The sequence below is a fragment of the Homo sapiens genome, chromosome 9, assembly GCF_000001405.40.
Source record: "Homo sapiens chromosome 9, GRCh38.p14 Primary Assembly".
NCBI lineage: Eukaryota > Metazoa > Chordata > Mammalia > Primates > Hominidae > Homo > Homo sapiens.
In genome coordinates, this window is record NC_000009.12 from 36,831,560 (window position 1) to 36,857,456 (window position 25,897).

Below are 25,897 nucleotides of genomic sequence, written 5' to 3' on the forward strand. Positions count from 1 at the left end.
CAGCAAACTGACCATCAAAACCTAGAGCTGAGACTCCCAGGCATGGCTTGCAGGAGGCTTGATCTTTCTGCCCTGCAGCAGTCTCACTCCCCCAGGGGTTTCTTCCGTCCCCAGCACCCAGCATGGGGCTTGGCTCCCTGGGGAGTTCGAGGAACACCTCCCATGGCAGATCTCACTCTTCTGTCTCTGCTCCTCTTTCACTGTCCCTGAGTGCGGAGGGGCTGCTGGAGGCTGCCTGAGGCTGTCAGGGTTGGTACTTCCACCTCCATACCTGGAGGCCTTGCCCACTGCCTCCATTCTGCTGTCACGTGGGGGCTGCACATGCCCTGCTTACTGCAGAGACTGGTGCCCTGTTTCTGGGGAGGGCAGGTCTGAGGCTTCTGTCCCCAGAAAACCAAGGATAGAGCCACAGTGTCAGGAAACGAAGCAGCTGCCCTGCCTCACCAGTTCATAGGTTTGGGGTCCGATTTCAGTTAAAAAAACATGCCTACTTCTCTTTGAAGTTTGTGCTGTAAGTCAGGAGCACTGAGAAGGGAGGAGCCAGGCCAGCACTCTGCCATGGCTCACCCTCTCTCCCTCAGGAATCACCTTCGCCACCATCCATTGCAGAAATGAATGGAGGCCGTGCAGCTGCTTTATTAAATATGAATGAGTTGCTGTCCACGGCCCCCACGCGGTCACTCGCCCACTCCATCTCTGGCAATTACTGAGTTGCACACTGTGCCAACGGGCGCAGCGGTCCCTGCCTGCCCTTGCACACTCTGACATCGCCCGGCAGGGGCAGAGCTCAAGTCTGCAGCTGCCCTACCCGCTGATGAAAAGCCACCTCTGGGCTCCTTTGCACCTGAAATTTTCAGTTCCAAAGGCTTAAGGACAGGACAGAAGGATTGTGGACTCTTGCTCTCCGAGGTCTGACTGGATATGGCCTGTGGCTTTGGGGCCCAGAGGCGAGGTCTCCTGGTGTGAATGGCTTCTGAGTTCTGTCTGGATCCAGGCATTTTAGGTTCCAGGAGGCTCGACAGGATCAAAGTGAAAAGCACATATGGGATGGGGGCGGTGGCTCATGCCTGTAATTCCAGCACTTTGGGGGTGCTGACGCAGGAGGAAGGCTTAAGGCCAGGAGTTTGAAATCAGCCTGGGCAACATAGTGAGAGCCTGTTTCTACAAAAAGTTTTAAAAAATTAGCTGATAATATGTTAGTTTGTAAGTAGGGAAAAATTATTTTAAAAACTAGCTGGGCTTGGTGGTGAACGCCTGTAGTCCTAGCTACTTGAGAGGCTGAGGCAAGAGGGTGGCTTGAACCCAGGAATTCAAGGTTGCAGTGAGCTATGATTGTGCCACTGATAGCAGAGTCCTGGTTGGCCCTGTTCACTTCTGTGTCCCCAGTGCTGGGGACAGAATAGATGCTCAATCAGTGTGTGCTGAATGAATGAATTAGGTGGGAATTACCATTTGGGAACTGAAGAAGTAGACATTAAATCACAGCTAGGAGTCAAATCCAGAGTGGTGGCTCACCCATGACTCAACCTGCCAAGCCTGGGGACATCTCAAGGGTGGATTCTGTGCCTGCTGTCCCCTGCCCAGGGCACAGCCCAATTCTGCAACATGGGTTTGTTTTGACAAAACAATCAAATCCATGCATGACTACGGTACAGTCAAAGTTGTCAAAGGTCATCCTCAAACTAGTAAAAACAAACAAGATCAAATTCTTTTTCTGAACTTAAAAAATTACTTTTATTTTAGGAACCAATAAAATTATGGCAAATATTTACAAATAATTATCTCACATAAAGGTTACATAAAATCAATTCTTCACAAGTAACAGCCACTCATGAAAAGACACACAGATATTGAAACTACGCCAATCTTATTGCATGTTTCTCCAACTAATCTAAAATAAAGGTGTTGCAGTCAACCATTTAACTTAAAAGGAAGCCACAAATTTCAGGTTTGACAAGGAAAAAAAAGTAAAAAAAAAATTAAACCAAAACCCCACCCCTGTTTTCTCCCAAGTCCCACCCCTAGCCCTGCCCTCCTCCCCAAAAAAGAAAAATATGTCCAACATCTTTGGCAAATTGGCACTGCTGTAATTACATTCAAATATTATTACACACAAAAGCAACACACGTCACTAAGAAAAAAACCACCAATATTTCAAGTCAGTTATTTTCTACTAGAAAAAAAGAATACAAAACATACACATTTTTTAAGAAGCATTTTTTTTTTTCAATCCGTTGGAGACAGATCATCTCCCACTTTCAAAGGCAATTCAATTGTGGTTTTTGTTGTTGGTTTTTTTGTATTTTTTTGTATTTTTTTTTTTTTACAAGTAAGCGTCTATGCAGGCATCACAAACTTTGGCGGATACAGTAGATATGTATTTCTTTGATGCTGAAAGGTCAGTCCCTAAGACAAAATCAAATGTCTCAAAGAATTAAAAGCAAAATGCATGTGTCTTCCTGGCAAAGGTTTCCATTTGCAATGTAATCTGCATTTCTACAAATACTCAATGTCCAAGGCCACTAGAGGGTGAAAAACCAGGGCAGCGTCTTCCAGCAGGAGTCAGGGCAAACCCAGAGCCAAAACTCCATCCTCAGCCCAACCTTGGAGGCCCAGCAGCTGGGGCTGAGAAGTGGGGCCCAGGCAACGCCAGGCCCTCACTGCCCGCCACCCTCTGTTGTGCTGGGTGCTTGGGGCCAGGGGATGGGCCTGCCTCTTCCTGAGCCCCGGGACAGGCTGCTGCCGGGTCTGCTCACCTTCTCTGACCCAAGTCGAAGACAGCAGGCAAGAATTGGCATGGGGAGACTCAGTGCTGTTTCTGAGTTTCAAGTATGTCTGAGGTGTAGGGGAGTGAGTGAGTGTGTGTGTGTGTGTGTGTGTGTGTGTGTGTGTGTTTACATGCTCGTGCACCTTATGGAGGGGAAGGCCAGATTCTGAGGCTCTGAACTTTTTGCAGTGTTTAAAATAGACTCAGGATTTATTTATTTTCTTTTTAGCTTTATAGCAATTAATTGGCTATTGATTGGTTGGAATGTTCAACTCTCCATTTCCTCAAATACAATAAAATAGTTTCATTAAAATGTATTCATGCTTGAAAAGAAGGGCGCCATTAAATGGTTTCCTTTCTGTTCCACTCCAAGGGAAATGCGCCGTTTGTAAATCAAAAATCCATCATCCAAAATCACTTGTTCTTAATGATGCTTTTGGAGAAGATGAGGGACGTGGCCACAGGCATGGTGATTTTGGGGACAAGGGCGACCAGCGGCCATAGCCACAGGGTCACAGGGTGGGGGGCGGGGGTCAGGGCAGGTGAGGCTGGTGTGGCCTCCTCCTGCCAGGCCTCAGAGTCGGGGAGGAGATGCACGACTGCCAAGTCACCCCCACCCTGCTGTTTCACCTGCTTCCCTCCCTGGGCCCCGATCAGCCACCGGAAGCTGATGGGTGGGTGGGTTTGTGCCTCTGTCTCTCCTGCCACAGGCCAAGTACCCTACCTGAGACGACTCCTTTGAGGCTTTGCTGATTGTCCCTCAGTAGATATTAATAGGTAAGCAGCTGCATTTTCTCCTTGTGTTGCTCAGGGGTCTAAGATGTGGGAACAAGAATTTCTGGGCTTTCTGAATGGTGGCTACGTTTACCCATCTTGGAGATGAGCTAAAGGGGACCCCTTGGATTGAAACTCTAGAATGGCAGTGACATGATTCTGAGGTTCCCTTCAATCCTGGGGTGCCCAGGAACGGAGCCTCAGTGCTGAGGAATTACCAGAAAAGGAAAGACAGGCTGGTGCCTGCCTGCTCCTGGCCGGCAGCTCATTTCAGAGAAGCTGTTGCCTCATCAGGGGAGCAGGCAGGCAAGGGGCTCACAGCCTGGCCTCTGCAGAGGCCCTTGGGACCTGGCGCCACACGAGGTGCAGCCGAGCTGACAGTGGGGAAGTACACATCAGCACTGTGGTTCCCCCATGAATATGCAAGAGGGAACCCTGAGGTTTGGGGCAACAGGGGCAAGGGGCTGAAGGGGCTGCTGGGAGGTGGGGCACGCCGTGGGCTAGGAGTCGTGGCCTGACTGTCCAACTTTCCAATAATGCATTTTATTACCTTTTAAGAAATGTACTTGCCTCGGACCTCTCCGAGGCCAAAAGAACGAAAGAAATAGTTTCCCCAGGAGAGCTGGTGTGTGGCTGGGAACCATCAGAGCAGCCTCTCGATGGGTGACAAGGCCAAGACTGCAGAACTGGCCTCGTAGTGGGGCCACCGTGGAGCCGGTCTAGCTCAGAGCCCTGTGGGATCCACCCATGCCTGCCTGGGCCTGGCCTGGCCGTGGGGCAGGAGTTGGTTTCCACCCTCCCGGGAAGCTGTATCTTAGACTCCCCTCCTGGGAAGCTGTATTTCAGACTCATCGTGTTTCTAGGGCTGTGTCAGGGTGCTTGGTTGGTTTTTAAGATTTGCTTCCCTGGCTTGGAGCTCAATTCTGGCTGAATGTCATGAGGAGGGGGTGGCTGGAGCCACTGGCTGCCAAGGCTGGGCAGTCGTTCTGGAGCGTGACTTCTGGTAAATGGATTTCACCCCTCAGTGCCCTGTGGCCACATCTGAGTCTCTTCCCTGCACATGTGAAAGGTGCCCAAGCAGCACTGACCTCCCCTGAAAACCCAGCAGCTCCCCAATCCCGTCCCCAGCGCCTCTGACCTTCCACCCAACTCCATCTTCAAAGCGCAAGACTTGCAAGAGCCCAAGATGAGGCCTGGGAGAGTGGCAGGCTCTGGGCGTGCCCGTTTCTACCCCTGCCTTGCTGGACACCCTGAAGCACATCTCTCACCTCTCTGGGCTCCCATCTCCTCCAAATCTGCAACAAAGGACAGGAGGTGAATGAGAAAGGGGGCAATTGACAGGCATTGGGGCTCACAGGCTGGTGCCCAGTGGGTCAAGTTTGGCCCATGGACATTTTTCTTTAGGCCGACAGAAAATTTTACAAGTTTTCATACTTGAATGCCACTCAGGGGGGCAGGCACACTTCTGGGCATCTCGGGCACTGCTGCACCGTACTGTCTGGTGCGCTGCCCGAGTGGCAAGGCTACACCACCCCGTTCACCCAGGAAGCAGTTCATTCAGGGGACTTGAGATTGTGATCTGTGTTTCCAGGGGCTGTGGACACCCTGGTGGCCCTGGCTTGGGCACTCCTGCATACTGTCACAGCCAGGCCTGGAGCCTGTTCCAAAGTGCGAAGGCAAAGAAAGGGAAGTGGGGGACAGCACATGACCTTGGCACCTGGACCCCTGGAGTCAGGGCTGGACCCATGTCCAGGCCTGGTCAGGGATTATGGCATGGCCTTGAATTGACTCTGATACCCTCTGAACCTCAGGGACAGCTGGGAAAGAGTCTGGATGAAACCTCAGAAGCACTGTTGTGGATTTGGTCAAAGACTCCGCAGGTTTCAATGTTCTTAGGAAACAAAGCCGCCAACCTGCAGGCCCCTAGGTCAGGCCAGCCTCTGGGTCCCTGTTCTTTCTTGCCTGATTGTGGGTCTGGGGGATTTCTAGGGAATGGGGGTGGGGGAGTGTCTTTAAGCCATACACTCCCATGACAGGAGCACAACTCGGTGGAGAGAGAATGGGGCCTGGAGATCTGAGAATTCACTTCGCCTCTATGTTGCCGTGAGAGCCCCAAATGTCAATTTCCCCGTCTATAAAGTAGGCATCATGCTCTTTGCTCCACAGAGTGGTTGAGGATTGCAAAGCACCGTACAATGTCAGTTATGGAAGGGCTAGCCTTAACTAAGGTGCCTTGGGAAAGGGATGTTGGGTTTGATATATCATCCAATTTTTCTAGGTTGGAGCTAGACTGATGGTATGAGAAATTTTCATAAAATCCACAATGTCCTTTTCCAAAAGTCAGAGCTCGAACACAGGGAAGAAGGCCCATGGAGAAATGCCCCAGGCCTTCTGCCACGATGCTGGTGAGGCCCCGGACTTGTGTTTTCCATTCAGAATTCTCTGGCATCTACTCAACGGCTTGTGTCCTTTGGAGCCATCCTCACCAAGCTCCCAGGCAGCTCCGCTGGACCACGAGGTGCTGTGAATTGGTGAGAGCGGGCGTGTGTGTGTGAGAACATCCGTGTGCATCCATGTGCGCTTGTGCTTCCGCCTGGCAGCCCAGGAGTCAAGTGGTTGTCTCACAAATACAAAACCAATCTGAGGACCAGCAAAGCCTCAGGTGAGGGAGGAAAGGTATGGGGGGAGCTCATTACAGGGCAAGAAGAGGAACAGGATGGGGAGAGGGGGCCGCTGTGAGCCAGGTGGGCTTTGCCGAGGAAGGATGCTGCATGCCTCAGGCAGCTGGTTCAGGGGAGGCTGACCTCCTCCCAACAGCCTGGAACCACAAGGAGGGCAGGATCCAAAGATGTGGGTACACATCATTCCAAAAGAAGGGTGACAGGGGGCAGAGGCTCAAGAAGTCTGTGCTGAAGACCCCTGACCCCACCACTTCCTGCTAAATGGAGGGAGGCAGGGAGAGAGATGCCAGGTAACATACCTTCTCCTACCTTACCTGACAGGTGGAAGCTGCAGCCAGCTCACCCTGGCTCCTGGAGGTGGACTCTGGCCCCAACTACCTCCCTTCTTTGCCCCGCAGGTTCTGGGTGGGGGCGGGGGTGCATGTGCCTGCTGTGAGCTCGCTGGGCTCCATCCCTGGCCTGGGTGACCAGGCTTCCTTGGCAGTTCTTACAGACTGATTGTCTAGGGCATGGGGCCCAGAACCATCTCTCACTGCTCTTACTGTCAACTCTCCTCAGGAATAGGAGATGTGGATAGACCAGGGTGACAGGGAACACCATGGGTTGGGGGTCAGGAGCCCGAGTCCCAGCCCCACCCCCACCAGTCACTGCTTGAGGACTCCACCTTGCTGAGCCTTAGTTTTCTCTTCTGTTCCACCACCCTGTGGGGGACTTAGGGAACAAAATACTTAGCGGTGGCCAGAGGAAGTCTGCTTTTTCTCCCTGCATGGTCCTGGCCTTCCCCAAGCTGGGCCTCAGTTTCCCACAAGGGAAGTTGGGCTAGGTCTTTTTCCAGGCTCTTCTGATTCCCGCCCCTCCGAGTGTTCTTGTTTCCCACTTGGTCCAAATATTATTGGGCCTCAGGTGCCCACCCCCATCTGCTTGCTTGGAAGTGGAGGGCCTGCCCCAGATGATCCTCTCACAGCCCCGGCTCCCTGGAGAGAGGAGGGGAAGGAAAGAGCTGTGGGGTGGCCCTACAGATGACCCTGCTGCACCAAGGCAGCCAAGGCTCAAAGAGGTGCAGGGTTTTGTCTGAGGTCCCACAGCAAAGACATGTGGCCAGGACCAGGACAAGACCTGCCTGGCCTGCTGATCCCAAGTCCAGTCTCTCTCTGCCCTGGCTCTCTGCCATCCTGGTGACATACAGATATGGGGGACATTGTCACCTAAGAAGGCCAAGCCCCCTCTCATCACTGTCATTCAGCCCAGGTTTGGACAAGGGCTCTACCTGGCTGTTCTGACTTGACAAGAGAGACTATGCAAGGAATTAAGGCCCCAGGTAAAGAGATGATGGCACCTGGCACCCCCATGTCAAAATCACTCCCAGGTCACACAGCAGCTCCTCACTGCTCTCCTGCCCCTCCCTCAGGAGGCCTTCCTCTGTCCCCCAGATCTTCCCTGCTGGCTTCCTCTGACCACCCTAGCCCACAGTGAGTTCTCCAAGCTCCCTCTCCAAGTTCCCGTGGCCCTTGGCCGTGGCCCTGACCATCGCGGCCCCTTAGATCAACAGGTGGGCATGCATTGTGCGAAATTAGGCATCTGCCCCAGCCCCAGCACCTCCATGCCCAGCTGCCTGCTAAGCTCCACGAGGACGGGGAGGGTCTGCCCCGAGAGGATGCTCAGAAGTTCTGGCTGTAGGCTGTTTGTGATCTGGGTGTGGGGGAAAGTCCTCTGTGTTAATTATTGTCTACATCACCGGAACAGGCTTGCCCAGAATCCACTTGCTGGGGTCCTGGAGGGTGGGTGAAGTGTCCATGGCAGGTGTCCGAAGTGACCTGAACCTGGGCATGCCTCAGAAAACACCGTTCCAGGGGCTGAGGGAGTAGGGAGAGCCTCAGGCCCCTCCTTGGCTGGGATCAGATGATCTCCTGCGTCCCATCCAGCCCTCACATTCAAAGTCCACAATGTAATCAATACCTCGGATGACATTCTGCTTCGGAAAAGTAGCTGAGGAATCTCCCAGACAGTTTTCTTTGAGTTCTTTGATCTGGAAAAGAGCTGCTGATACTGCATCGGTCCCAGAGAAATGGAGGCAGGAAACCAGGACATCTCCCCAAAGTGTGCTCCTCTTGGAGAGGGGCCTCAGGGGGAGCCTGCAGCACAACCAGCCCAGTGAGACTCCTCGTAAAGATACTAAAGAAGGAGGGATGAGCAGGAGGCTGGGGCCCAAGGGCAGCATCCTCCATCTTGAGGACAGCTCTGAGCGCACCTGCCAGGGTCACCCAGGGCAGAGAGGATGCTCTGCCATAGGTCTAAGATGTCCGGTGATGCACCAAGAGTGCGAGATGCATCATGGGTGGAGCAGTCTTCTCAGTCGGACCTTCAGGCCCACAGAAAAGCAAGAAGGTATTTACATGGGTGCTGCTGAAGCAACAAAAGCAAGCTCTCCTTCCCAGGCTGGGGTGGTTATGATGGATGGATAGTCAGACAGCTGGAGGACAGGCAGGCTGGGCTGGGGCTGCGGTTATTTGCAGGACAGTCTATTGGTTTGCAGAGACCCAGTGGCCATCGGGAGAAGCTCATAGATTGGCTTTTAGAAATAGACAAGCATCCAGAAGTCCAACGGCCCCACCAAAGGGCCCCAGAGTCCCTGGAGGAAGAGAGGAAGAGGGGAGCTTCAGGCAAGTGGGGGATGCTGGGGGACGGTCTCATGGGCTCTCTGGCTATCTTCAGGAGGGCTGGGTGGCTGTCACCCTCAATAGGTGCCATCAGTGTTTGGTGCCCGCCTGGCTCCAAGGGTCAGTGACGGTCATAGGCAGTGGCGGCTGCAGGTGGGGCGGCTCCTCGGGCGGCAGCGCTATAATAGTAGGGGGAGCCTGGAAGAGACGGGAGAGAGCACCGAGGTCAGATCCGGGGTCCCCTTTCCACCAGTCTCCTCCACTTCTGTCCTTTCCTCCCCTCACTCAGTCCGGGCCACCATCCTCTCTCACCAAGATCTCTGTCCCAGTCTGTTCCCCAGATGGCAAGTCCCATCAGGGCCACAACCTGCTCATAAGATTTCGAGGCTCTTCGCCATCTAGAGCTGGGGTCCGGAGCCTGGGGCCCTTGGGTCCAATCCTCCCAGCTGCCCGTTTTAGTGAATAACATTTTACTGGAACACAGTCTTGCCTATGAATGCAGGCATTGCCCATTACTGCTTTACTGCTATTACGACAGAGTTGGATAGTTGCAACAGAGACACTGTGGCCTGCAAAGCCTAAAATATTTACTCTCTGGCTCTTTATAGAAATCATTTGCCAACCCCTGACCTAGAAGATAAAAACATGAAAAGCATTCCCTTTGTTTGGCCTGCAGGTGCTCTGTGAGCTATCCCCAGCCAGCATCTCTGAATTCATTTCCCTCAGGGAAGGCCCCTCCTGCCCACACTCATATATCATGCTTAAGCTGGATGAAACTCCTTGCAGCTGTCTCATACATACACAATGCGAACAGATGAGCACATCCTCTGTGCCTGGCCCTGCTAGGGCCTGTGCATGTATTATCTCATTTAAACCTATGGGGTAGGCACAGTTTAGCTCATGCTAGCATACTCTCCTGCCTCTGTGCCTTTCCCCACAATGTGCTTCCTGCCTGGAACTCTTGGCCTGCACCCTCACCCCTTTTCCCATCTGTTAAACTTCTATGCCTCTTTCAAATCTCAGAGCCCTGTCTCCTCCTCTGGGAAGCCCCCTGCCCTGAGCTCACACTCCCCTGTAGTCTGTCCCTATGCTATGGGAAAGACTTCTTTCTGCACTTCCCCCATCCCCAGATGGAGAGCCCCCAAAAGGCAGAAGCTGGGTTCTGCTCTTCCTGGGAGTCTGTCCCCAGTTCCAGCCTGGAGCCATATGTGGCACCTGCTTAGCTGGATTGGACATGTAAATGAACCAACTTTGCTGAGTGAGCAAACAATAGCGAAGACACCCCCTGCCCATTCATTCATTAACTCATTCATTCACCACTCATTTCCTGACCCTGCTGGGGGCAGGGCTGGGCAATAATGGGGCAAACGCCAGCCTGACACAGGTTAATATTCAGAGCAGGAAGGGGATCCAAGGTCAGAAAGAAGCTCTGGAGAGTGCAAGATGGTTCTAGCAAGTTGGCTTTTGGATTAGGGAGAGTCGACCTGTACCATAACTGGGGGCTGAGTCCTGGAGTCTGCCAGAGTAGGGGTGACACTTTGGGATGCACCACCTCTCCTCCTCATTCAGCCCTGATGAGCCGATGTGCTGCTCCCTCCCCATCACCCCAAGGAGGCAGTATGGCAGTGGAGGGGCTAGTACCTTGCTGTGCTGTTCCAGACAGCACAAACACCAACCCCGTGCCTAAGTATTCCCTGAGATGGGTTTTCTTCTGCCGCCTCTTCTGTCACCTCCCTGGCTGCAGTCCCGACTCAGAGACCCCTGTCAGCCTTCCTCTATTCTCTCTTCTGAGGGATGGGGACAGCCACCCATGGAGTGTCTGCAGTGCCTGCCCTTCACCCTGCCTGCAGGTGAGCCCAGAGGAAGGCGGGTGTGTGTGCATGAGAGGGGCATGGCACGAAGGCAGGGTAATCACAGGGTCTGCCCTACACACGGGCCCCAGAGGACAGGAAACGGAAGTAGAGTCTTCTCCTTGGAGGATCCCTGGCTTGACCCTCCAAGCCCTCAACCCCAGCCACCTCTCACCCTGGACTCTGACCCACTCCCTCCCAAAGCCAGGCTAGACCCTCCAGCGGGCCTCCGTGTGAAAGCTTGCATTTACTGTGAAAAATGAAAACATCACCTCACAAAGCACTCTGTCTTCCTGGCGCCCATTAAACCTCCATCTAGAATAAACTTGTCCTTTCTTCTGTCATTTTTCCTCTCTAATTCACATTATGGTCAATTTACTGCTTGACACAGTCATTCCCGGTTCTGCTTTCTCTCTAATCCCTTCACATCGGCCACAGGCACTCCTATTCTAATCCTAATTGACCGCAGCCGGCCTTTCTTCCTGCCGGGACCGCAGCCCCCTTGCCACCCTGGGGCCCTGGTGGGATGCTGAGTCACAGTTGCCCTGGCTGAGGGACATTCTCCCGAGAAGTCAAAGTGCCCCAGTCCTTCTGCTTCATCTCCTGGCATCGCTGATCCTCACCTTGGCCATTCCTGGGAAGGAGGCTTCAGCCAGGTTGGACGAGGTGTGGGCAGCACATGCGAGGGTGTGTGCGAGTGGGAGTGGGGATGTGAGCATGTGTCTGTGTGTGTATGTGCGTGTATGTGTGCATGTGTGTGTGAGTGTATCAGTGTGTGAGCGTGTGTGTGCCTGTGTGTGTGTGCGTGTGTGTGTGTGAGTGTATGAGTGTGAGCGTGCGTCTGTGTGTGTGTGCATGTGTGTGTGTAGGGTTCTCGCCTGTTCCACAGAGCGCACCAATCTAACAGGAGCACCAAGGGACCTCCGGACAGGTTTCCATGCCCTGGCGCCCTCCCCAGATGTCACGAATAACCCATCTAGGTCTACCTGCCCTGGGGTATTCTCTCAGGCCACGCTGAAGACACCGTGGGGCAGGGCGGGCCGGGAGAGGTGAACGGGCCTGGAGCTATTTGCAAGGCTGTGGGTTGGGGAGGCAGCAATCTCACCCATCTTCAGGAAGGTGGGATCACTGCTTCCTCTGCCCTGCACATCTCAAGAGAGCATGCATGCAGCTCCTGTTGGAATGAGGCTGCAGGGATGACTATCCTCAATTTACATCCGAGGCAACTGAGGCCCAGACCTGCCTAGGCTCCTCCAGGTTATAGACTTGGGCAGTGCAGGGACCATTTCTCATGTTTGTTTCTGGCCAATATCGTTTGTGCTCTTCCTGTGTTTGTAGAGATTCTGCAGTAGGAGGCCTGCTTCTTTGAGCCAGAAGTCAGAACTCATCCTTCCAGCTTCCCTTGCTGCTAGGGCACAGGTGTGTTTCATGGGCTCTGCCAATTAGACTTTCTTGTATATGACCTTGATTGAGAAGGTAGCCCCTTGAAGCAGTGGGCTGGGGGACTCCATCTGTTGGGAGTGGGTGGCAAAGGCATCCAGCTTTGGCTGGGGGCAGGACAGAGCTTCTGGTGCCCAGTTCCAAGCACCCCGGGAAAAGTTACAGTGGAGTGGAGCTGCAGGCTGGGTGCTGGCTGGCAGCAGGGCTGTTGATGCTAGTGCAACTCTAGTTGTGTGGTGGGTGTTGTCCTGGCTGTGTCCCATGCCTACCTCTTTTTGTCCTCCTGGAGATTCTAGGAGTCCCAAATATCCCTTAATAAATTCATTTTCTGCTTAAGCCAGTCAGAGTGGATTCTGTTGTTTGAAACTGAAAGTCTGACAGATACAGATAGTAACCTGCTTTCAAAGCTGGACCAGAGCCAGTCTCATCACTCACACACAGGTCTGAGTATTCAGGACTCAGGACTCCCAAGGCCTGTTTCTACAGAGGGGTGAGGCCTCTTTTCCTGGCTTGCTGTTGTTCAAACTGCGACTCAGTCAGGGAGAGTAGAGTACCACATCACATACTGGTTCCAGAAATAGGCTCTGGTGTCAGGGTGACCTGAATTTAAATCCTCCTTCTGCCACCTGAATGCTGTGTGACCTCAGGTGAATTAGTTCACCTTTCTGAGCCTCATTGTCCTCTTCCGTATAATAGAGATAATAATATGTGCTCTGTAGGGTTGCTGAGAGGACGACATCAGATAGCCCATGTAAAAAGGGTTTTGGGTGCCTGGTACAATTAGCAAGCGCTCATGTAGATGAATGGAGCTTTGCTTCCTTTTCCTCCTCTCCATGCTGTCTCTGGCCCCCTAAAGGTACTGAGCACTTCCCAGCCAGACACCCCTGCCTGAGGCTCCCACCCACAGCCTGTGAGCTCCCTGGGACAGAGTGTGCATCTTTTCCACAACAGGCACACAGCCCAAGCCTAACAATTGGGGCTGTGAACTAGATTTCACTCCAGCTTGAGTAGCAAAAGCCTTGGATGTAGTCTAGTCCTGCCCTCCCCTCCCTATCTCCTCAGACCTACACAGTCAGGTCCAAACTCCCCAGCCTGGCCTTCAAGGGGCCACTCTGCACACTCCACAGATAGCCCCACCTCCTACACCAAGCCTTTGCCACACGTGCCTGAGAAGTTTCTTCTAATTTCTCTGCTTCTTGAATTCCCAGGCAAATAAATGACAGCCACTATCAACCTCTAGGAACCTTGTAAAAATGAGAAAAATGTGTCCCTTTTGAGAAGGTGCAGCCCCGTGCCAGGGCTCAGGGTTTTGTGCCATGCATGGGCTGGGGTTCAGCTCCCACTTGTCCCCTTGGGCAGTGCAGTCATGTGTGGCAGCCCTGGGCCACTATGGCCTCCTTGGGGTCACCTCTCCATCAGAAGGAACCTCTCCCACAGGCCAGTGTCCAGGTCTCCTGTGTGCCATATCCCCTGGGGTCTCCCAGCAGGACTGGGATCAGGCCTCTGCCTGAGGCAGATTTCCTGGGAAGGACTCCCAGGTTTGGGCCTCAAGACTCATCTCCCTACCCCCACCCCTGCTGGAAGACACTGGTTCAGGGAGCCCACAGCCAGCCCATGCCTCCTGTTTCCTAAGACAGACGTCTGGGTCAACTCAAATAGTCCATTTAAGAAAAAAACATTAGGTAAGCGGATATCTTGGTTCGATACTTAGAACTAATTTTGACCAAAACCAAAAAAGGAGTCTGAGAAGAGATCAATCTGCAGATTCTGCCCCTCTTGGAGACCACAGATAATAAGAAGCTAGGAGTCTTCTGCAAGGCTTGCAATCTCCTTGCACAGGGACCTGCAGCACTAATGGGAATTGTTTCTTATTGAATCCCCAAGTCATGCATGACACACCAAAATCCTTTGGACAGCCCAAGGTCCCAAGAGCATGGAATGGTAGTAGCAAGAGAGAAGTGGTTTCCATACTGTGTGTCTGTCCTAGCCACCAAATCAGGTTTGGGAAGGGGTCAAGGCTGAGATTACATGGCCTTTTTCACAGACCTATGGTTTGGCAACTTGAGTTTGAAGACACCAGGTTATGGCTTTTCTGATGAAGCCTGTTTCTCAGTCCCAAAATAATTAAGGATCCAAGGAATTAAAAGGTTCTTCCTTAAGGAGGCCTTGTTAAGCTGGGCAGATAAACCTGGGTGGTCTCAGAGGGCCCTTCCATGTCTGACCTTTTACTGCTCGAAGTAGAAAATTCTTAGCTGACTGCTGGGGGAGGGCTCCATGTTGCTATCTGCAGGCTGATTGGCTGGCTCCACCTCCCAGATGGTGAGTGACATCTTTGAGCCCATGCCTCTACTTCATGTCCCAGAACCTTTAGCTCCAACTGGCACTCACTAGCTGGTTTCATGTAAGGTCAGTCCAACAAAACAGAGGGCTCCCCTTGGCCTTTTGAAAGCTGAGTTAGACTTGCATGGTCTTTGCGGTGGCCCAAATCTTGATGATGTTCACAGATCAGACTGCCACCAGTCACGGACAATCTGCCAATCCAAGGCTTGGGCAGAGGGTGGGCACCAGCTGAGCCCTAAATGGCATGCTTTGTCAGACCTCCAGCCACAGGCAACCAGGTTCTAACAGAGCCGGCTCTGGTGATGTCCATGCAGACATCACTAATCAATCACTGGGCATCAGGGTCTTTATCAAGGTGGTCTCCAGGCAGCCACTACCAATCGATTCAAGTTGGTATCTTTACTGACACTTATTTAGAGAGTTCTCGCCTGAATATGTCATTATGCTTAAGAAATACAAGTTACTCACAGGTAGGCACTTTTCCTACCTTCCTCTTTCTCCTTCAATGCCCCTTTTTTCCTCTGTTTCCCTTCTGTGCCATTTTTCCTAACCCACCAAAGCATCTGGGGGAGGGAGGAGGGCATGAGCAGGGCTGGAGCACTATTTACTGCCCTAAGGCCCCCATGAAAACACCTGTGCTCCATGTGTCTGGGCAAGCTACCCACCCACCTCAGTGACCAGACCTCAGGATGTCGAGGGACCCAGGCCAGTGAGGAGGCCTGGATGGGGTAGCTGATGGCCCAAGGGCCCCGCAGGGCCTCCGCCAGTACTCACCAAGCAGCCCCGGGTTGGGGAACCTCCAGGAGTCGTTGTACGAGGAATACTGAGGGTGGCTGTAGGGACTCCCGGAAAACTCACTCCCTGTGTATGGTGGGTGGAGAGAGAAACAGGAACCAAACGTCAAATCCAGTTCAGAAAAGGCCCTGGGTCCCAGCCAGCCTGGTTGCCAATGGCATTTGCCTCTTCCGTGAGTTGCAGGCGCTTTTGTAACCAACAAAAGCAAGTCAGGTCCACATCATTATGGAGTGGGCAGCTGTCACTGGCATTGTCTGTATTTCCCCTCCTTATCAGTGGGAGTGAATGGCAGACTCTCACATGTGTACCATGGAACTCCCATGTCGTTCTGTGGCCCCATGTGCCAGATGTTCCTTGGGGTCATTGGCTCATTTTACATATGAGAAGGCTGATGCCCAGGTCGTCTCACAAAATGGTCTTGATACACCTTGCTAAGTTCAAGGCTGCAGACTGCTTGGTTCTCATCCCTGAGTGAAGCCAATCCAGGACCCCAGAATGGGCTCAGTTCTACCCCCCACCTGCTGATGAGTGGCTCTGGACAGAGAAGCCAAAGGTAACCTCAACCCTAGCCTGGCCCTCTGTGCTGTGAAGGCAGGGGTGGCTGTCCCTGGGGCCTCAGTCTCGTCAGGGAGATGAGACATAAACCCAGGCCCTCTGCCTGGAGGAGGCAGACAGAACTGTGCTGAAATGAAACAACAAGCCAAAGGGCTAGGGGAGCACAGAAGAGGGAGTGGTTGGGGCCTTCTGGCCACTGGGGAGGGGGCAGCTGTTGGCAGCTGTGGGCGTGCTTGGGCAGGAGCTGTGAGGTGTGCCAGGGTGTGATGAGCATTGTGGGGCATGGTGGGACCCGAACATGGTTCACTCAGGCCAGGTGCTCATGGAGCAGTAATACCTGCCTCTGGCACTTCCCTGGGCTCTGGGTGCCCGTCCCAGGAGAGCCTCTTTACTACTGGCCAGGTCACTAGGAGGAGAGTTCACAATTCTGTCCCTTACCACCTTGCTGCCTTGGTCTTGTAGCTGGCAGGGCCTGCCTGTCTTCCCCCATGGCTATAGGGGATCCCAAAGAGTAGGCTTCAGCCTGGACTCATCGCCAGGTGCCCAGTACCCGGCAGACTGTATTCAGTAGAGGCCCTGGAACAGGGCATGGAAAGCTGGCTGCTGCTGGGTACAGAGCATGGGAGCCCTTCCCTACTGGAGGTGACAGGAGTTACATAGCCCCATGAGCCCACTCGTGGCCCAAGCCTGCCTCCACGATCCCCTACAAGGATGCTTACAAAGGGCCGAAGGGTGAGAGATTCCAGAACGGGCCAGCCAGAACCCGGGACCAAGAGCCTGCTCTCTCTCCTACAACCCAAGCCTAGAGGTGGGCCCCTGGGGATCTGCCAGGTGGGGCAGGAATAATGAGGCAGGACTGAGGGGCCAGCCACTCCCACCTCCTAGGTCTAGCTGGCTTCCCCCGCACCTCACAACCACAGGCAGAGCGTGTCCACACACACACACACACACACACACACACACATGCTCGCGCTCCTCCTCGGGCCTCTCTGGGGGCCACTCCCAGCCTGACAGGCTGAGCCTTCCAATTCTCTGTTTTTTATGCCTCAGTGGTCAGGGTGTCAGGTTCTGGCATGCAGAGGGAGAGCCCGATGACAGTGGGCTGCAGCCGCCCGGCTCCGGCATATCCATCAGCACCACGGAGCCTCCTCCTCCTCAGGTGGGGGAGTAGAGACACAGCGCAGCCTGGAGAACAGGGACAGCGCCCTCCCCTCGGGACTCTGAGCACCCGTGGACCTGCCCTATCAGAGGCACTTCTTGACAATGCCGAGCCCAGGGCATTGGGCTACTGTGGCAGAGGCCACCTCTGCATCTTTGTTTAGCGTCGCCTCTGCTGCCTGGCCCAGCTTCAAGGCCACTTCTTCCAGGAAGCCTCCCAGATCTCCAGCCCCACAAAGTGCAAGTCTCAGGTCCATCTGGCTGGAGTTAGTTCATTGTGGACATATTATCCATCCCCAGATTGGCTTTGGCTCCTGCAAAGGGCCATAAACAGCTCCCAATTCCTTCATAGGATGTGCCTAAGTCAGTGTCACCCACCATCCTCTACCCTGTCCCCACCTTTCTAGCCTTACAGTGGTGAATGTAGAGGTCCTTGGCTACCTTTTCCTCTGGGAAGCCCCTCTCCCACCCCTCCTCTTCCGATCCCAGTCTCCCGTGTGGTTCTGCAGCACTGGCTTTGCCCTGACCTGCAGGGGAATCCGTTGTACGTGGGCATGCTTGGCCCTGCAGGTCCGTTGGATTCCTCTCTGCACCTGTGTGCCACCCTCACCCCAGCTTGGTGCCCAGTCCACAGCAGACAATGAGTGTCTGAACAATTCCTGGTTGCTCACCAGCTCTCTGTAGCATGGGGAAGCCTTCCCTGATCACTGTGTTTAAAAGGGAAGTTCCTTCCACCCCATCTCTCTTTCCTGCTTTTTTTTCTCCATAGAGCTGATCACAATCCAACCTGTCTTGTTTATCCTGCTTATCTTATTATAATCTGCCTCTTCCACTAGGATGTAAGCTCCATGGGGGCAGGGAGTTTTGTCTGTTCACGTGTTGATCCCAACCTCTAGCACAGGGCCTGGCCTCTAGTAGGCAGGAATAATTATTTGTTGAATGAATGAATGAACGAATGAGACTCCTAGGTCAACCAGGCACACGCTTCCAGAGCAGACTCTCTAACTCAGGCGACAGCTCTCACGGCCTCCGTTATTAGCACCCACAGCCAGGGGTGTGTTGGACACCTGCTATGTGCCAGGATCCAAACCAATTTCTCCTATTCCATTGCCCACCACACCATCCTGCCCCTTGGTGGGAGAAATGAGCCTACCAGGGACTGGCTTGCCTGGTGTGCTAAGAGTGGTAGTGTGGTGGGCACCCCCAACATGGGGCCCCTGCCCTATGAGAGCAATACGCTCTGGGTAAGGGGCGTTTGACCATGTACGGGTCGTGAGGCTGACCTAGAGGCTGGTTCAGCCACCTGCTGGGGACTCTGGGATGGTGTCTGATTATCTGAAGTGCCACACAAGAAGCTGTCTGAGTGTAGGGAGCCCTCACCCCATGAGATCCGGAGAAGCTAGGTCCTTAGTCAACAGTCCAGAGAAGGCCTGGGAACACTTTCTGGGAGTGGAAGCGACCACGTGAACCAGGACTTGAAGGGTGGGTAGGACTTTGATGGCAGAGAGAGGCGGGCATTCCAGGCACAAGCAAAGGCCCGGCAGTGGGGCTGGGCAGAACGTGGCCCCTGCATGGCCAGGTCTTCCGTGAGGCCCCGCAGAGGCAGCTGCAGGGCAGAGCAGGCGTGGGGCAAGAGTGTAATGCTTTTCTCTCATTAGGGCTGGGATCAGCCAAGGCTTCAGACTGGTGAGTGCCAGAATCTGGAGGACAGGCTGGAGGAGGACAGCTTGCAGTCAGGGGGCCCCTCCAGGTGGCTGTGGCCACAGTCTAAGCAAGAGGGACTGGACCTGGGAGATGACACAGCAGTGGCATCCTTAGGCACAAAATGATGTTCCTCATGTGCAGGAAGGACATTCTTGGGGAAGGAAATGAAAGCCCCTGCTTCTGTCTTTTGTTGCGGCCTCCGGAGGTGCAGCCAACAGGCCCAAGACAAAGTTCCCACAATGAACCCCTTTCAGATGACCGTGCCCAGCACAAGGGACACCACGGGCCCTTCGCCTCCTTCTAACTGACCCACACTTTTGGCATCTCTCAAAAATACTAACCCCTGGAATTGGGAAACTTTTCTTTACGTATTCATAGAAAAGCTGCTGTGAGTTCTGGTAGGTGCCAGCTTACATCGGAGTGGCTGTCCCTCAGTGGGCAGTGAGACCCGCCTCTGGGAGACACACAGCACATGGCCATTCTCAGAGGTGGTTCCTGGCGCTCTCTGGAGTTGGTCACATGGAAACCCCTAAGAACTCTTTCAACAACAAAACACGTGCCTCCAACTTCTCCATCGGCATTCCCCCAGGAGCAAGCAGTCCCGGGGAGAAAACAGGACTGGACCCAAAGCCTCATGGGACTGGGCCTGCAGTTGGCACTGTAAACTGGGCCCCAAAATGGTGCTGTGGGGGCAGAAGGCAGGTGGGCATGTGGTGGACACAGGCATTCCTGCGGCGGGGCTGAAAGCACGCTCTGCCATCAGGCCATCTGCTCACTGGTTTTGTGGCCTTGGGCAAGCGATTGAACCTTCCAGGCAGAGCCTCCTCATCTTGAATATGGGCAAAATAAAAGCACCTACATCATAGGATTGGCAAGAAGTAAGTGAAAGAATGTTACTGGAAGAACAAAACTACCTTTTCCCCAGGCCAAGGGGACTGGGGATGTTGGGTGGAGATGGAAGAAGAAAGAGCCTCCTCTGAAAACTAACTGAGGCCCTAAACGTAATTTGATAGCTTTCGGTGGGGCTGGGGGTAGAAGAACATTGAAGAAGTGGGGTGCCCAAGTTCCCATTTTCAGTTGTCTGTTGGGTGTTTAATCTACCTCTGCCATTTCTGCTCACTCACACTCAAATGCCTTGGATGGCCGGGTTGGTGTTTTCTCCCCACATGGAAATCAGAGGAAGGAGCCAGCGGGATTGAGATGAAAGAAAGTGGCTGAAGAATGTCCCGAGAAGCCTGAGCCTGAGGTGAGCATGGGAAAGTGAGCCTCCACCTGGAAATGGGGCAGAAATCTTAAGGAGAACATAGGATTTTCCCACTAGGTGGCAAATGAGGGTTTGAATCAATTTTACCTTGATTTCAAAGTGCCAGGTGATGCTGGCCAGCTGTTGGGATTATTGGAATCAGAGAAAGGCATGGTGGGGCCAGAGGAGGCAACTGCATGAGCAAAGGCAGGGAGGAGGGGCAGGCAGATGGCCCACGATGGGATTCCAGGGCATCCGGGCTGATCCCCCTTCTCTGATCCCCCTTCTCTAGCTGCTGTTGACAGAATTAAGAACAGAGGGCTGGTCCCCTTCTAGGCCATGCTCCAGGCCACACCCAAGGTGTGCTCTGCTCTCTGCTGTTGCCCAGAGCTGCCCACATTGGAGGAGAAGACAGAAAATGGCCTTTGAAGTCACACAGACCCAAGCTCCAGGCCGGCTCTTCCTCTTCCAAGCTGTGTGGCTTTGGGTACATGCATTCACCTGTTGAGTCTCAGTTTCTTCATCTATAAAATGGAGGGAAGGAAAATCCCTACTTGTTAAGCTTATGGAGAAGATCAAATGACTTCACGTTTGCAGATGCTCTTTGCAAACCCCTGTGTGGTGGGGACTAGGTACCTTCTCTCATTGAGAGAGAACAAACTCAGAAATTCTGCCCCCACCCAAGCCCTCTGATCCCAGCTCCTCCCCCTGCCCCTTCACCCTTTGATCCTGGGCAGGTGGGAAGAGGAAACCCAGTGACAGAAAGAAATACAGAGCTGTGGAAGTGACAGAACCGGAAGGGATTGGTGAGATCCACATACTCAACATGCCCTTGTGTCGCAGATTGGGAAACTGAGTCTCAGAAAGGAGAAGGGACTTGGCAGAGGCCCAGCACATGCAGTCCCTCAGAGGCCAGGTAGACAGGAGGGGAGGGCTGCGTGGGAACTGTCTGGAAGGTAGCCTTCGGAGGAAAAAAATGACGGCGAGACTAGAAACAGAACGCTGGCAGTCAAGGAGCAGCTCCGAGGCCATGGCACCTCACCCTCACAATAACCCTGGTGAGGAGGACGCGGAGCAGAGGAGCCCGGGCTGGGGCAGAAGGAACGTGGCTTCCCACTGGGCATCTCAAGGCTGACAGTCCCTCCCGGCATTCTGCCTAACCCCGAGCAATGCACTTCTTCCTCCCTTCACGCAACAAATTCATCTTATGTTGAAACTTACCAACCTGTGCCATCACTCATAGTCACAGATGATCAGGCCTGGGATGAACTTTAGAGATACGTTCCCTCAACCTTTCCATCCCCAGGGTCTTCTAGCCAGTCAGGAACAGAGCAGGGCCTGGGACCCTGGCCTATATTCCCAGACCCCAGGGATCCCACCATCCCAAGGAACACCTCGTTGAGCTGGGCCAGCAGAGGAAAGGGAAATCTTCTCATCACATCCTTCTTCACCCCTGATGTATTTGAAACTTTTCAAGCATACAGCAAAGTTGAAAGAATGTTATAGTGAACACCTATGTAGCCACCTCCTAATTCTACCATCAATGTTTTCTTATGCTTGCTTGTCATATCGATCTTCATCCCTCTAGCCTTTCTTTCACCTTAATGTGTATTTCATTTCCAAGTAAATGCAAACATCAGTACACTTTCCCCTAAGTACTTCAGCATGCATACAATTAACTGAAGTTCATTACTTGTTTACTAGTTTTTTCTTTGGATACAAAATTTACACATAATGAAACACACAAATCTTAAATGTGCTATTGCTGTGTTTTGACAAATGCATAGATCTGTGTGACCCAAACCCCTACCAAGATATATTAATAGAACATTGTCAACAGCACAGAGAGAAAATTCTCTCATACTGAAGAAGGGGGCCTATTGACCAACCGAGAACCCAGCTATCTGGGGATGTAACTGAGTCATCCCTCCATGAACATAGAGCTCTGAGGTTAGCACTGACAGCCCCAAACCCCAATGGGTGAAAGAGCCCCTGACCTGCAAATTCAAAGTTTCTCCAAAGCCATTACACAGAACAAAGCTAGAGGAATGTATGCTGTTTCCTCAAAGACACAGAGAGAAAGCAGAGCCTTAAGAAATTTCAGACAAATGGTGGGTTTCCCCCAAACAGTACTGTCTTCCAATATAGAAGACGTGACTGTAAAAACCAATGCACTAACTAGAGAACACTGATTAAAATAAAAAGTTTAAAAAGGGGTTATGATAAGATGCACTTAATGCAGCTGTCCTGGAGATCCCAGAGGCAGAAACATCACCAGATTCAGAGGTGTTTTCAGCTTCCCCTTCGCTCAAAGCTCAGAGATGGCAAGAAAGTCAAAGTTTCCTAAAATTCTCAGAAGTGACAGGTAAACGGGCTCAGTATAGCTCTTAATTAACCCAAAACGACACCTGCCAGATGACGGGGATTTGCAGAGCGCACTGGGGGCCGACCCCGTCTGCAGATGGTGGGCTCCCACCTCTGCTCCAGACCTTGGCCGGCTGCAATTAACATATGGAAAGTCTTTCAAAGTGACTTCGCAGCCAAGTTCTGTTTCTGAAGGATTCAAACTGGGCTTAGAGAAAATCTTTGCAGAGGAGGAGGAGGAAGAAACGATTTGAAAAGGACCATGAGGTTTCTTCAGCTCCTCTCCATGGCTTTGCAGAACTGCATGAAATGCCTGGTGGCTCAGGGATCGGCGGCTACCCGGGATGTTGCGGGACCAAACTGTTGACGACCAGAGTGAGCGCAGGCACGGCATCACACGTAGCCACAGCCAGGCTTTCATAATACACATGTATAGACACTCCCGATATACACGTACACATGCATATAATGTATCTGTGTATGTATACGTAATAATATGTATAATATTTATAATATACAGATGTATGTATGTTGGATGTGTACACACACACATACACACACACTGGATTCTGGAGCTGTGTCAAAGCCTCTTAGAGTGACCTTGGACAAGTCATTTCTCACCAAGTCTCAGTTTTCTCATCTGTAAAAGTGGTGTGTTTGGAAGAAATTGAAATAAGTGACCTCCAAGGGCTTTCAGCTCTCAGAAGCTGTCTTCACTGCACCCACGCCAAGCCTCTCCCCCTCGCAGGCCAAGGCTTCTCACCGTTCCTCTCTCCACAGCAAGACCTTCCTGGGCTCCCAACAGGGAGATGAAAACCTGAGCTCAGTAAAGGTCAGCCTGTCGGCCCCGACAGCCGTGCATCGATCCATTGCTGGGAAAAACCTCTCTCCCACCAGCTCAGGCCAGCCACGAGGGCCTTCAGAAAAACAGAGGGAAGAGAAAAACCGAGAGAGAGGGTGAGCATGAGGGGCAGAATGCACAATGTGTCTCACTTCTGTTTCTCCCGAGAGCCGCGGACCCCACAGCTGGACGGCAGGCCTGGGTGAGCCCCAGGGAGCCTGGCGTGGAGGCCAGGACTCTGCCACCTGCCAGCTGTGCGGTGGCCAAGTGGCCTTTCTGGGCCTCAGTGTGATCCTCTGTAAAGAAGAGGCTGTTGTGTCCCCTTCCTGTTGTCTACAACTACAAAAACCCAAATCCAAGGATCCTCTAGGGAATTCAGTGGAAACAAACTCCACTGCGGCATCACGGTGCCTCTGCCACAGGGCACAGGTCCGACTCCACCAGCTGGCCATCCATCACAGGCAAGAGCTGGGGGCCTCGAGACACATGGGGCCAGGAGGAAACAATTGATCGGCTCCTGGTGTTTGAAAGGGGCAAGTATCAGTAGCCACAGGACTTCCATCTATCTAGATCTGTTGTACTTGCCTCCAAGGCTGACCTTTCTTTCTGTAACCTGCCTGGCCCCTGCAGGCATTTCCATTTGAGATCCCTGGCTATGCCATGGCACATTTTGAACAACACTGGTCCAAGTTTAATCCATTCTGCTGCTGTGGTCCTATTCCAAAATTCTGTCCTGTCCTGCCCTCATCTAAGCAAACAATGGGCATGTACAAATGACCCCCCTGAAGCCTCACTAGGGTGCAAGATAACACCTGATTTGTGTGCATGCGTGAGGTGGGGAGGGGGGTACTGCAGTGCCCTGTGCTGGGAGTGCCCACAGGTAGCACTTTGTGAAGATCAACACCCCAGACGCCGCCTGGTGGCGGTCAAGGCCCTTCAGGGGCTGGTTCCCATGGAGCTTCTCAGCCACACCTCCCACTGCCCACATCCTCCACTCCACCCCTACCCGCCACAAGCCATATTCCAGGCCAACCACACCACCAGTTGTTCTGCACACCTACTCCACGGGGCCGTTTCCATCTCTCATGCTGTTTCCTTCATCCCAAACACCACCTTCCTTCCCTTCCTCATGTCCAATTCTCCTATTTGTCAAGACCCAGCTCAAATACCACCTCCTCCAGGAAGGCTTTCTGGATTAATCATCCCAGCTGAGAGCAGTCCCCCACTGGTCCCTGAGTCCCCAGCCCTGGGTCTATCACTGCCCATGTCCCAGGGCACACAGATTCAGGGCTGTCTGTGACCCTGTCTTGTTTCCCCTGCTGTTGGGTCTGGCTTCTCCTCAATGGCAGGAACCAAGGCTGACCATCTGTGACTGACAGGTCCCTGCAGCCCCACCCCCAGCACAGGGCTTGCCCACAATACCAATGCAGACTGAGTGAGCACTAAGTGTGCCCAGCAGATGTTCCTTGAGCCAGCCCCTTTCAGAGTCAGAACAGAAAAGGTCGTGAAATCCATGCTGGAAAGAATTAGTGAAACACCAGTCCCGATCTTTGCTAGAAACATGGAGACAGCAAGGCAGAGAAAGGGAATAAAACACACAAAGAGAAGTGGGCTGTGTTTACTGCAGAAACCACCGTGCAGGTCCCATGAGTGAAAAGGGACACTGGTGCTCTCCTGAGCGGCTTAGCTCCCACCTGCAGGCCTCAGTAGGCCTCCCCTGCCACATAATGACAGCACTCAGTTCGGCTCACTTCAAAAGAGTGCAAAAGTACAAGCTAAAATAAAGAGACACAAATTTTCGTCTTTCTTTTTTCCTCTTTTTTTTTTTAGGCGGAGTCTCGCCCTGTCGCCCAGGCTGGAGTGCAGTGGTGCAATCTCGGCTCACTGCAAGCTCTGCCTCCCAGGTTCACGCCATTCTCCTGCCTCAGCCTCCTCAGCAGCTGGGACTACGGGTTCACGCCTCCACACCTGGCTAATTTTTTGTATTTTTAGCAGAGATGGGGTTTCACCATGTTAGCCAGGATGGTCTTGATCTCCTGACCTTGAAAATACACAAATTTTCTAAAGGGAGAAGCAAAAAAAGAGCAGTACCAGACTGAAGCCGGATTACAAAGATAGGAAGGCTCTAGGTTTTGTCCTTAGCACCTTTTCTCTGCATCCATTTGGCCACTGGCAGATGCTTGGCCTGGAAACCCGAAGAGTCTCTTTGAACGTCTAGAATGTTGCCAGAAGCCCCCATCCCAGGGCCTAACCCACTTGGCCCCAGGTTCTGCAGAGTTGAGTAGGAATAACATTGAACTACATTCCCAGGAAAATCCAACTCATGTATTCATGATAAGTGTCAAATAAACTCACTAGGTTCTCGTGTGTCTAGCCTCAACTGGGTTTGTTCAGGCAGTCATACACACTTCCCATGGGTCTACCTGGAGCAACTTCAGAGTTGGAATGAATGATTTAAAAGGTAGGGCATGGTAGAAAGTAACATCTCTCCCCAAGTTTCTAAAGTTCTTCACTGTCCTCCTATACTAAATTTGGGGAAAACTTATCTTAAGCTTTGACTTGGGGACTATGTTTCACTTTTAGACTCCTATACTGGTGATGCTGTGTATTTTGGTAACTCCATTTAATTCAGCATCCACTGTGGTCCTACTCCATTCAGAGCTCAGAGCTAGGCCCCCAGTAAGGCATACTCAGTGAAATGCGCCTAGGCTTCAATCCTCAGGGAACT

General features: G+C 52.7%; 1 protein-coding gene across 13 annotated transcripts in view, besides 2 other annotated features; it reads right to left on the minus strand.

Moving 5' to 3' along the window:
• Window positions 1,710-25,897, minus strand: part of PAX5 (paired box 5) — a 201,000-nt gene continuing 176,812 nt past the window's right edge. For 8 of the 13 annotated variants that reach the window (NR_103999.2, NR_104000.2, NM_001280556.2 and 5 more), the window contains 2 exons: window positions 15,284-15,370; window positions 1,710-9,077 (listed from right to left, as the gene is read on the minus strand). Coding sequence is in view for 11 of the 13 variants with exons in the window: in NM_001280549.2 (NP_001267478.1) it covers window positions 8,970-9,077; window positions 15,284-15,370 (195 nt within the window). In the remaining 2 variants the exon portion in view is untranslated. The remainder of the gene's footprint in view (window positions 9,078-15,283; window positions 15,371-25,897) is intronic. The other 5 variants (NM_001280551.2, NM_001280553.2, NM_001280550.2 and 2 more) reach the window with 1 other exon arrangement.
• Window positions 16,459-17,298: an enhancer, noted in NCBI's record as "H3K4me1 hESC enhancer chr9:36848015-36848854 (GRCh37/hg19 assembly coordinates)". NCBI's record gives its function as "activates a minimal SCP1, AML or CMV promoter by ChIP-STARR-seq in primed H9 embryonic stem cells {active_cell/tissue: H9 hESC(primed)}" and the evidence as "EXISTENCE:reporter gene assay evidence [ECO:0000049][PMID:30033119]".
• Window positions 19,803-21,002: an enhancer, noted in NCBI's record as "CDK7 strongly-dependent group 2 enhancer chr9:36851359-36852558 (GRCh37/hg19 assembly coordinates)". NCBI's record gives its function as "activates an origin of replication core promoter dependent on BRD2, BRD4, P300/CBP, MED14 and CDK7 cofactors, with strong dependence on CDK7, by STARR-seq in HCT116 cells {active_cell/tissue: HCT116}" and the evidence as "EXISTENCE:reporter gene assay evidence [ECO:0000049][PMID:35650434]".